Source organism: Homo sapiens, chromosome 14 (assembly GCF_000001405.40).
Source record: "Homo sapiens chromosome 14, GRCh38.p14 Primary Assembly".
NCBI lineage: Eukaryota > Metazoa > Chordata > Mammalia > Primates > Hominidae > Homo > Homo sapiens.
The window spans coordinates 91,180,428-91,192,762 of NC_000014.9; the positions used below are offsets into that span (position 1 = coordinate 91,180,428).

The following is a 12,335-nucleotide window of genomic DNA, read 5'->3' on the forward strand; positions in this document are numbered from 1 at the left end:
CAGGCGTGGTGGCGGGTGCCTGTAATCCCAGCTACTCAGGAGGCTGAGGCGGGAGAGTCGCTTGAACCCAGGAGGCAGAGGTTGCAGTGAGCCAAGATCATACCACTGCACTCCAGCCTGGGTGACACAACAAGACTCCATCTCAAAAAAAAAAAAAAAAAGAATAAAGTCAATAAAGTCACATCTCAAATTCCAGTATATTCACAATGCTAAAACCAGTTCTTAATAACTATGCTAGAGTGTTTCACATTGCCTGAAATCTAACAAAGGAGAGTCTTTAAAGAATAAAATTAACATAAATCAAAGCAAAATGTAAGTGCCATAAGGAAAAATAGAAACGATGCCATAAGGAAAAATAGAAATGATGCTCACAGAGGGTTCCAAACCTAACATTTGCTGGAAAGCAAAGCAAGATGGCTTCATGAGTTTTAAGAATCCAGTAAACACTTCCTGATATCCATGGGTTAAATTGATGGAATCGCCTAGAGCTCTAGCTATAGCTGTGGCTGTATCTCACTTCTTTTCAACCCATATTCAACTCATCTTTACTTTCCTAGAGATTAGAGGCAACTGTTTAAATGGAACTTGATGTAGCTATAAACCAGCTTATTCTGACCTTGGTGCCAGCAGGTGGTATAGGGAGTGCTTAGGCTGAGTTGATGGCCAGGTGCCATCTTGCCTATCAACAGTGGGCTAGATGAGGGTAGGCTGGACTTGATGAAGTGGCTGGGCTCAGACCCTCCTGCTGTGTGTTTTAGAGACCCCACTGGCTTTTGCCAGCATCCCAGGCTGCACAGTTATGACTGACCTGAAGGATGCAAAGGCTCCACCTGGTTGTCTCACCCCAGAGAGAATTCCAGAGGTCCATCACATTTCCCAAGATCCTCTGCACTACAGCATCGCGTCAGTCTCTGCTTCTCAGAAGATCAGAGAACTAGAGTCTATGATCGGCATAGACCCAGGTAAGAAACAACACATTTGCTCGGCATAGACCCAGGTAAGAAACAACACATTTGCACCTGGAGAAAATCACCTTTTCAGTGAAAAAGGTGGGATGCAAAATGTATCCACAGGATGATTTTTTAAATGTTGATACTGCATATAAATCTCAAAAAGACTAGAATTAAATACACCAAAATACTGACATTGATGGTCTCTAGGTAGTGGTATTGTGAGTGATTTTTGCTTACTTTCTTTTTCTTTCTTTCTTTCTCTTTCTTTCTTTTGTTTTCTTTCTTTTCTTTCTTTTTTTTCTTTTTTTTTTGAGACAGAGTCTTACTCTATTGCCCAGGCTGGAACAATGGCGTGATCTTGGCTCAAGTGATTCTCCTGTCTCAGCCTCCTGAGTAGCTGGGATTACAGGCACGCTCCACCACACCTGGCTAATTTTTGTATTTTTAGCAGAGACAGGATTTCACCATGTTGGCCAGGCTGGTCTTAAACTGCTGACCTCATGATCCGCCCACCTTGGCCTCCCAAAGTGCTGGGTTTACAAGCGTGAGCCACCATGCCCAGCCTTGCTTTCTTCTTTATGGCTTTTTATTTATTTATTTATTTATTTATTTATTTTTGAGATGGAGTCTCACTCTGTTGCCCAGGCTGGAGTGTGGTGGTGCAATCTCAATTCACTGCAACCTCCATCTCCCGGGTTCAAGTGATTCTCCTGCCTCAGCCTCCTGAGTAGCTAGGACTATAGGCATGTGCCACCCCACCCAGCTAATTTTTGTATTTTTAGTAGAGTCGAGGTTTCACCATGTTGGCCAGGCTGGTCTCGAACTCCTGACATCAGGTAATCCACCCATCTCGGCCTCCCGAAGTGCTGGGATTGCAGGTGTAAGCCACCATGTCCAGTAGTTTTTGGCTTTTTCTTGTTGTTCTAAACTTTAACACTAAACGTGAGGAAGTTCGTTGAGTTTATTTGCTGGGCATGTTGCCAGCCAGAAGCAGATGGGGTTAGGTAGTAAGAAAAAAAGAGAGAATGGTTTCTAGGTAGGCAACTGCCACCATTAAAAAAAAGTTATTTATGTAGTTTATTATTATTATTTAGAGATGGGGGCGTGGTGTCTCACTATGTTGCCCAGGTTGGTCTTGAACTCCTGGGCTCAAGTGATTTTCCCGCCTCGGCCTCCCAAAGTGCTGGGACTGCAGGCATAAGCCACCTAGCCTGTCCTCTATGGATTTAGTGATGTCCCTAATCTCCCCCTTTAGTGCCATTGCCCTGGGGTTGGGCATGGAATAGATTAGTTGTATACTGGATAGCAGGGATAGTGATGGGGTAGGATTACTTCTCCGGGGATCCCAGTGGGGCAGGACCCTACAGCCACAGCCTCACAACAGTTTGCAGTCAACTTGTATATTGTATAACGCATCTCAGGGGAAGGATAGCCCTTCTGTGGCTTTGGAGCCACTGGCCTTCTGTACATGGGAGAGGGCTGGTGGGATCCCCTAGGGGACCTGCTGATTCCAATTAGTTATTTTATTTTATTTTATTTTATTTTTTATTTTATTTTATTTTATATTTTTATTTATTTTTATTTTTTTATTTTAGTTTAGTTTATTTATTTTATTTTATTTTATTTTTTGAGACAAGATCTCACTCTGTTGCCCAGGCTGGAGTGCAGTGATGCGATCTTGGCTCACTGTAACCTCCACCTCCTAGGCTCAAGCAATCCTCCCACCTCAGCCTCCTGAGTAGCTGAGACTACAGGCCGGCACCACCATACCTGGCTAATTTGTTGTTGTATTTTTAGTAGAGACGGGGTTTTGCCATGTTACCCAGGCTGGTCTCAAACTCCTGAGCTCAAGTGGTCTGCCCACCTCAGCCTCCCAAAGTGCTGGGATTACAGGCATGAGCCACCATGCCTGGCCCTGCTGATTCCAATTAGAAAGAGGTTTGCTAAAAGCTGGTTGAGGGGCTTTTAACTTCCTGCTATGTCTTCATTTAAGGGCTGAATTTCTAATCCCAGGTGGCCAGCAGGGACTGCAGTTTCACCTGCCATTGTGTGTGGTAAATCCCTTTGTTGGCAAACACTCATGAGAGAATTACGGTGTAGCCCATACCTCAGTTTCTTCATCAGCGTAACAGGAGTGATGACAATTATGCCTGCCTCTCTGGGTTGTGATGCATGATAAGGATAATGGTGTCACCTACCAAGTTATACTGTGCCAGGCAACAGGCTGCAAGCATTTATGCGTTTCATCTTATTAAATTCTCCCAGTGACTCTACGTGGAGGCAGCTATGATTAACTTCATTTAACAGGTGAGGAAACTGAGGCAGATAAGGTACAAAGACTTTCCAAAATCCACATACCTAGTAGGTGGTCAGGGCAGAACTTGAACCCATGTCTGCTGACTTCAAGCCTATGATTTATACCTGTCAGCTAAATTAGAATCTCAATGGAAACGGTAAGTCACAGTCTTGCCTGGGCAGTTGAAAGAGTGCTCTAGCGACTCCTGGTTCACACCCCAGTCCCTCTTCTGGACCTTCTCATGGGCCGTGCTCCTAAACCTGGGGTACAAACCGCCCTTGGCACCTGGAATGACTGGAGAGGAGAAGGCATATGTGGCCTCCCCACCGGCCCACCTGACTCTCATTCCCCAGAGTCAGGTGGGCCAGTGGGAAGATCTAGGTAGCTACCTGCATCAATGGTGGCCGACCTCCGTGGAGAGCTGAGGGGTGAGGCCAGCCTGCAAAGCAGCAGTCAGCAATCTGGGCCAGACTCCCAGGGCCCAGACAGGACTGATTCCAGCACCAGTTTAAAGCCTACAGCAGCTGGGTAGAACCCCAAAACAGACAGGCTGGGACCTTCCCCTGCTGGCCAGCACTGTCACGAATCTGACAGTGCAGACCAGCCCTAGAAATACCTAATTCTTGGGAGGCCGAGGTGGGAGGATCACTTGAGGTCAGGAGTTGAAGACCAGCCTGGCCAATGTAGAGAGATCCTATCTCTAGAAAAAACAATAATAATAAAAATTAGCTAGGTGTGGTGGTGTCAAACGCCTGTGGTCCCAGCTACTGGGGAGGCTGAGGTGTGCAGATCGCTTGAGTTCAGGAATTTGAAGCTGCAGTGAGCCATGATTGCAGCACTGCACTCCAGCCTGGGCAATAGAGCAATACCCTGTGAAAGAAAGAAAGAAAGAAAGAAAGTTGGGGGGGGGGAGGGAGGGAGGGAGGGAGTCTGATTCTGGAAGGAAGGAAGGAAGGAAGGGAGGGAGGGAGGGAGGGAGGGAAGGAGGGAGGGAGGGAGGGAAGGAAGGAAATGTCTGATTCTCTCCCCTGGGCCTAGGAGCAAAAGTTGTCTTCCAATGACAGGGGCATCTGTAGTAACTAAATTTCTTGCTGAACCACTGGACATAGCTCTTTGCCTGTTTGTCTTCTGTTAGGTTGTTCATTCATTAGTTCATTCTGTAGAGAATGTGGTTTCCTTTACATATAATCCTATAGTAAATTAAGGATATAAACCCACCACAGATACACCTCATAGGTTATGCTCATGACTGTGTATACATAAAGTATCTTACATAGTTGATCCCCTGGGTGGATTTTTTTTTTCTTTTGAGACACAGTCTCACTCTGTTGCCCAGGCTGGAGTGCAGTGGTGTGATCTTGGCTCATTGCAACCGCCACCTCCTGGGTTCAAGCAGTTCTTGTGCCTCAGCTTCTCAACGTAGCTGGGATTACAGGCATGTGCCACCATGTCTGGCTAATTTTTGTAATTTTAGTAGAGCTGGGGTTTCACCATGTTGGCCAGGCTTGTCTCGAACTCCTGGCCTCATGCAATCTGCCCACCTCGGCCTCCCAAAGTGCTGGGATTACAGGTGTGAGCCACCGTGCCCAGCCGGATTTTTTTTTTTTTTTTTTTTTTTTTTTTTGAGACAGGTTCTTGTTCTGTCCTCCAGGCTGGAGTACAGTGATGCAATCATAGGTCACTGCAGCCTCACTCTCCAGGGCTCAAGGTACCCTCCCACCTCAGCCTCCCGAGTACCTGGCACTACAGGTGCGCACCACCATGCTGGGCTAATTTTTAATTTTTTTTTGTAGAGATGGGGTCTCCCTGTGTTGAACCCCTGGGTTCAAACAATCCTCCCTCCTCAGTCTCCCAAAGTGTTGAGATTACAGGCATGAGCCACCGCTCCTGGTGCTCTGGGTGGGTATATTTTTTAAAATTTCTGCCATACCTTCTCCTTCACAAACATTCTTACCCAAGCTGATGGCTCTCCATTTAGCACAGAGTCATGAGGGAAGATGAATTATTAACTCTACCATTAGCTCAGATTAAAAAAAAAAAAAGTAATTGGGAAGTAAATTTATTGCAGATGTGGTGCACCCATTGCTTAATAAAACAAGCTAAGAGGTCAGCCACAAACACCACCCATCAATGCTGTGCAGACTGCAAGACAAAGCTTGAAGGATGAGGCTGGGGGAGGCAGATTTACAGCTGTTGGATGTGTTGATGTCATCTGTTAAGGACCATCTTTAATCCTCAAGAACAACAGATGCTTTTGATCCCCACTATATTAAATAAGCAGATAGAAGATTCATAACAGCATCTTGAGCGTTACTCACTGGACATAATAATAGACCCACTTAGTCATTTTTGAGAGGATGTTGGCTTGCATTTGAGGTGCCTGGGGAATATGAAGGGATATAGGGTTTATAGTAATGATTTTTGCACTGATGATAAAATCATCATAAATGTATTTACCAATTTACAGTTGACCAAGTTCTCACTCTCCTCTTCTCCCTTTGGAGCTCACCATGCCCTAGGAAGTAGGTTACATCCCAATTTTTTTATTTAAAAATGTTGTTATTCTTCTCCTCGCCCCCCCTTTTTTTGAGACAGAGTCTTGCTCTGTCACCCAGGCTGGAGTGCAGTGGTGCGATCTCAGCTCACTGCAGCCTCCGCCTCCCAAGTTCAAGTGATTCTCCTGCCTCAGCCTCCTGAGTAACTGGGATTACAGGTGCACACCACCATGCCCGGCTAATTTTTGTATTTTTATTAGAGACGGGGTTTCACCATGTTGGCCAGGCTGGTCTCAAGCTCCTGACCATGGATCAGGTGATGGATCAGGTGATCCATCTGCCTCAGCCTCCCAAAGTGCTGGGATTACAGATGTGAGTCACTGTGCCTGACCTAAAATTTCATTTTACAAATGTTCCACTATTTTATTAATATGCTGTTATTTAATACCATAAACAATGCTGTAATGAACATCCTTATGACTAAGTTTGTGAACATGCCCATGATGACTTTGTTAGGAACAGTGGGCACGAGAAGTGACTCGCTGGCTCCAGTGGAATGCACAAATCTAAGACAGAAATCACCCTCCAGACAGCACTGCTCCAGTGTCCACTCCTCCCAGCACACTATGTGATGGGCCATGTCCCTGTGACCCTCCTACATCTGGACTACCTCCCATTCTCCATGTGGGAAAACTGAGGCTCAGAGAGGTCAAAGGATGAGGCCAGGTCACACAGCTACGATATGCCAGCATCTGGACTGGAATGCAAGTTTCCTGGTTCTAAATCAGGAACTGTTCCTCCATAACAGAAATCCAAACCCCATGTCTTCTTCTTCTTTTTTTTTTTGAGACAGAGTCTTGCTCTGTCACCCAGGTTGGAGTGCAGTGGTGCGATCTCGGCTCACTGCAACCTCCACCTCCCGAGTTGAAGCGATTCTCCTGCCTCAGCCTCCTGAGTAGCTGGGATTACAGGCACCCACCACCATGCCTGGCTAATTTTTGTATTTTTAGTAGAGACGGGGTTTCACTTTGTTGACCAGGCTGGTCTTGAACTCCTGACCTCGTGATCCACCCACCTCAGGCTCCCAAAGTGCTGGGATTACAGGCGTGAGCCACCCCGCCCAGCCAACCCCGTGTCTTTCATATTCTCCAGGCACCTCAACTATAAGCCAGCGTCCTCTCACGTCCCTTCAGTCCACTGCTGATTTCAGCCACCGCCAGAGTAGAAGTTCTGTGTCCCACACACTGCCTTCGCGTGCACTGTTTTGCTCTGAGATGACCTGAATGTAGACAAAGGCACAATGGGACCTCATGAGGGCGGCTGCCTGGCTTGGTGGCCACTGGTGGGCACCTGTAGCACACACCGCAGCTTCCCCACTCGTATCCTCTGGGCTGCCTGGGTTCACCTGCATAGAATTATGGGCGGCTCCCAGCACGACAGCCTCTTACCATAGGCTCAGGTCTCTGCTCCATCTGAGGATGCCCTCTGTCCCTCCAGAGTCTCCCTCATCACAGCAGGCACAGCTTGGTAGTGCAGAGGACTCAACGCCCTAATAGGCAGGTGAGTAAATGCCCAGTCTCCTGTCCTCCGAGGACCCCACAGTTTCTTAGAGAATCTCAAGCTGTGCTGAGCCCCAGTTGCCTTTGAAGTTAACTTGCTCACTCACAATCCTTTACTGTTTTTTTTTCCGCTTTCCCCATCTTCTCACTTGCATTTCCTGGGATCACCTCCCACTGAAATACTTGTGCCCAGGTCCTTGTGTCAGGGTCTTCTTTGAGGGAATCCCCAGCTAATGGTGCTGTCTGTACCATTTCCCTTCCCTCTTATGTTTTCCCTGTATTAGTTAGGGTTTGCTAGAGTGCTGTAACCTAGAAGCCCCGGGATGCTTTGCTCAAATACAGCAGAAGTGTGTTCCTCTCTCACACAGCAGGCCAGGGTGGGTCTTCCAGGGTGAGTGTCCTGGGTCAGCAGAAGGGGATCTGCTCCACTCAGTCACTCAGGGACCCTGCAGGTCTGCCGTTACATCCTGTGACCCCCAGGAGGTTCTGGCTGTCAATACTCCAGCTGCCAGGAAAAGGGAACGAGCTTGGAGGTGTGTGTTGGAGGTGCATGCCAGGCCCAGAGGTGGCATGCGTCACTTCCATCACGATCCAATACAGAGAACCCAATCTCGCGGCCACACCAGACTGAAGGGAGGCTCCTCAGCCATTTACCCCTCTGTCCTTCACTGCTGGGGTCAGGGGGCGGGGGTAGAATACACTGTGGCAAGCAATTTGCAGTCTCTGCCACAGCCCTCAAAAAAACAAAGCAAATGAACTAAAAACCCAAACTACTCTTACTGTAAAGTTTCTACTTTAAAAATAATCACTTTTGGCTGGGTGTGGTGGCTCACGCCTGTAATCCCAGCACTTTGGGAGGCCAAGGTGGGAAGATTGCTTGAGCCCGGGAGTTTGAGACCAGCCTGGGCAACATAGCAAGGTCCTATCTTTTTAAAAAATGCCAAAAAAAATTAGCGGGCTGTGGTGGCGCGTGCCTGTAGCCCAGTTGTTCAGGAGGGTGAGGCGGGAGGATCACGTGAGCCCAGGAGTTTGAGGCTGCAGTGAGCTGTGATCACGCCACTGCCTTCCAGCCTGGATGACAGAGCAAAACCCTATCATAAGTAAATAAATACATACATACATACATACAAATAATTTTAAAAATATAGTTACTTTTACATTCTATTTTTGTCATTTCAGGGAACCGGGGGATTGGGCACCTGCTCTGTAAAGATGAGCTGCTGAAGGCCTCTCTCTCGCTGTCCCATGCCCGCTCAGTGCTCATCACCACTGGGTTCCCCACACATTTCAATCATGAGCCTCCAGAAGAGACAGATGGCCCACCAGGAGCTGTTGCTCTGGTTGCCTTCCTGCAGGCCTTGGAGAAGGAGGTCGCCATAATCGTTGACCAGAGAGCCTGGAACTTGCACCAGAAGATTGTTGAAGATGCTGTTGAGCAAGGTAAGCAGTGAGATGGGCTTGGTCCATTTCCCCAAACGGGCTTTGTGGACGGAGGCTGGAGGGAATCAGCATCTGCAGTACAGAGCATTCTCCTTCCAGCTCAGAACAACTCCGTTGTAAGCTGCATAGCTTGATTTCATAGACGAAGAGACTGAGGCTCTGAGAGATCCAGGGGATTTTCCCAGGTGGAAATGGTGAGCTGGAATTTGAACTTGGGTCCACCAGGCTCCAAAGCATGGGATCCTTCCTGCACACCTGCTGCTGTCCCTTTGCAGTGTGGGGAATGACCTGCCGAGTATTCTTAGCAATCCGGGGCAGCCCTGGACCACCAGAGCTGGGGAGAGTAGTGGAGTATGAAGTGGCTGAAAGGCTCAGACAGCAGTCCCACCTGGTCGTGATGGGCAGGGCTGCACCTGGAGCACCCAGGTGGGCGTTATTGCTGTAGGTGTTGGAGACGCGAGGCTGTAATTCCACTATCCGTGTAGCCAGATCAGCGTCGGGCTCAATGTGAACAACCGCTGCTCACCTCACCTCCATCCTGCAGGAAGTGTTATCAGGCATGAGCTGGAAGCCTGGTGAATCTCACCTGCCTCCCGCTACCGATCGCTCTGTGTCCCTCAAAATGCATTCTTCAGAGGTATGTTTTTTCCTTTTAGCATTCAAAAAGGGCTTTAAACTCAGTAAGGCATACCCTAAAGCACCCATTATGTCAGAAGTTTCCAAAAGCCTGTGTCTGTACGTGTAGAATCCACTTCATGCAACAAATGTGTGTTGAGCTCGAGTATGTGCCAGGCACTCTGTTAGGTTCTTTTTTTTTTTTTTTTTTTTTTTTTTTGAGACGGAGTCTCGCTCTGTCGCCCAGGCTGGAGTGCAGTGGCGCGATCTCGGCTCACTGCAAGCTCCGCCTCCCGGGTTCACGCCATTCCCCTGCCTCAGCCTCCCGAGTAGCTGGGACTACAGGCGCCCGCTACCACGCCCGGCTAATTTTTTGTATTTTTAGTAGAGACGGGGTTTCACCGTGTTAGCCAGGATGGTCTCGATCTCCTGACCTCGTGATCCGCCCGCCTCGGCCTCCCAAAGTGCTGGGATTACAGGCGTGAGCCACCGCGCCCGGCCTCTGTTAGGTTCTTGAGATCCACCCGTGAGCAAAACTGACAACAGTCCTGCCCCCACGGAGAGTATCTTCCAGTGGAGTGTGACAGACAAGAAACAACTTGTAAGATGAATGCACAGTGTGTTCGAGTGATGATGCCATGGGGAAAATGGACCAGGATGAGGAGACTGGAGAGTGAGGGGCTGGGCGGTGGCAGCAGTGGGGGGCAGCTGTCACTTTACACAGAATGGCCAGGAAGACCTCCTGGAGGAGGTGGCCTTTGAGTCCAGAATTCAGGTTGATGATGAGGGCGTGAGGCTTGGGCTGGCTGAGGGAAGGGCATCCTGGACTGTGGCAGTGGCTGGGGCAGAGGTCATTAGGTGGAGTGGGGGCCCAGTGGGTTTAAGAGAGGATGGCATGCTGGCTGACTGGCCTGGAGTGAATGAGGAAAAGAGAAGTGGGACGAGGGACAGAGAGGTAACAGGGACCAGATGGGACAGGGCCTCGCAGGACCCTGTGGGCAGCTGGGCTTTTGTTCTGGGTGAGATGGGGAGCCTGGGATTTCTCTGAGTCAGGGACAGCCATGTTCTGTGTGGGTTGTAAGCAATCACTGGGGTGCAGAGACAAGGGTGGAAACGGGAGACTGGTGAGTTATGGAAGGTGGGAGAGGAGGACGGTTTGGAGTGGGGGTGCCTCATGGCACATCCCTTCAGCCGCACTTCTGATTTCAGCTGCCACTGCGGTGGATGTTCTGAGTCACACTGACCCGATGGGACCCCGCCACAAGCTAGGGCCCTGCAGGGCCTCTCCAAAGCCATGTGGAATCACTGGCTGATGGCTTCAGGGCACCCTCAACCCCTGGGGGACAGGACCTGAGGTGTAAGTGACACATGCTACAACTTGGATGACCCTCGAGGACATCTTGAGAAGTAGATTAAGCCAGTCATATTGTATGACTCCACGCATATGACGTGCCTAGAGTAGGCAAACTCACAGGGCAGAAAGTAGAATGGTGGTTGCCAGTGGCTGGGAGGAGAGGGGAATGGGGAGAGTTGTTTATAGGTACAGGGGTTCAGTTTGGGATGATGAGAAAGTTCTGGAGATGAATGGGGGTGATGGTTGCACAACAATGTGAAATATTTTATGCTACTGAACGATACACTTGAAAATGGCTAAAACAGGCCGGGCACAGTGACTGTCTTTTGGACAGTTCCCTGTCTTTTGGAGACACATAGGTCCTGGTGGAACTGACGCCCCACTCCCTAGAGCAGCAACCTTGAAGGTGCACGTTCCCTCCTTCCCAGCCTCATTCTCCCTGTTCCCTCCCACATGCTTCGTGGCACCATCTCCCAAGAGACCATCTGCACCCAAGTCTCAAGTTCTGGTTTCAAAGAAACCCAAAGAGACAAAAAGTACAGATACAGAGGGCAGGGGGTATTGTGAGAAGTAGCCAGATGTTGTATCTATTTTGCAGGTACAGTCAACATGATTTCCAGATGGATTGGGTGTGGGTGTGAGGAGAAGGATCAGGGCTTGCTCTAAGGTTTTTGTCCTGGTAACTGAAAGGATGGAGTTGCTGTGAACTGAGATGGGGAAGACTGGCAGGTTTAGGGGTAAATCAAGAGTCCAGGTTTGACATTTGCGCCCTGATGGAAGGATTGTAAAATGGTGCAGATGCTATGAAAAACAGATGGCAGTGGCTCAAACAATTAAAAACAGCAAATACCATATGGTCTAGCAATTCCACTTCCAGGCATATACCCCAGAAAAAGGAAAGCAGGGACTCAAGAGGTATTTGTTCCCTAATGCTCATAGCACTTTATTTGCGACAGTCATGAGGTGGAACCAAACCAAGTGCCCATCAATGGATGAACAGATAGATAAAATGTGGTATATAATTATTACTCAGCCTTAAAAAGGCAGGAAGTTCCGACACATGCTACAACATGGATGACCCTCGAGGACATCTTGAGAAGTGGATTAAGCCAATCGTATTGTATGACTCCACGCATATGACATGCCTAGAGTAGGCAAACTCATAGGGCAGAAAGTAGAGTGGTGGTTGCCAGTGGCTGGGAGGAGAGGGGAATGGGGAGTTGTTTATAGGTACAGGGGTTCAGTTTGGGGTGATGAGAAAGTTCTGGAGATGAATGGGGGTGATGGTTGCACAACAATGTGAAATACTTTATGCTACTGAACTATACACTTGAAAATGGCTAAAACAGGCCGGGCACAGTGACTCACGCCTGTAATCCCAGCGCTTTGGGAGACCGAGACAGGCAGATCGCTTGAGGTCAGGAGTTCAAGACCAGCCTGTCCAAAACCCCGTTTCCACCAGGACCTGTGTGTCTCATAACAAAACCCCATTTCTACTAAAAATACAAAAATTAGCCAGGCGTGGTGGCTGGTGCACACCTGTAATCCCAGCTACCTGGAAGGCTGAGACACAAGAATCGCTTGAACCCTGACAGTGGAGGTTGCAGTTAGCCAAGATCGCAC

The 12,335-nt window shown here is 48.7% G+C and overlaps 1 protein-coding gene across 11 annotated transcripts in view; it reads left to right on the top strand.

Moving 5' to 3' along the window:
- DGLUCY (D-glutamate cyclase) overlaps nt 1-12,335 on the top strand; it is a 165,300-nt gene that overhangs the window by 120,095 nt on the left and 32,870 nt on the right. For all 11 annotated transcript variants that reach the window (NM_001358312.2, NM_001358310.2, NM_001358311.2 and 8 more), the window contains 2 exons: nt 759-962; nt 8,483-8,743. In NM_001358312.2, coding sequence (NP_001345241.1) covers nt 759-962; nt 8,483-8,743 — 465 coding nt within the window. The remainder of the gene's footprint in view (nt 1-758; nt 963-8,482; nt 8,744-12,335) is intronic.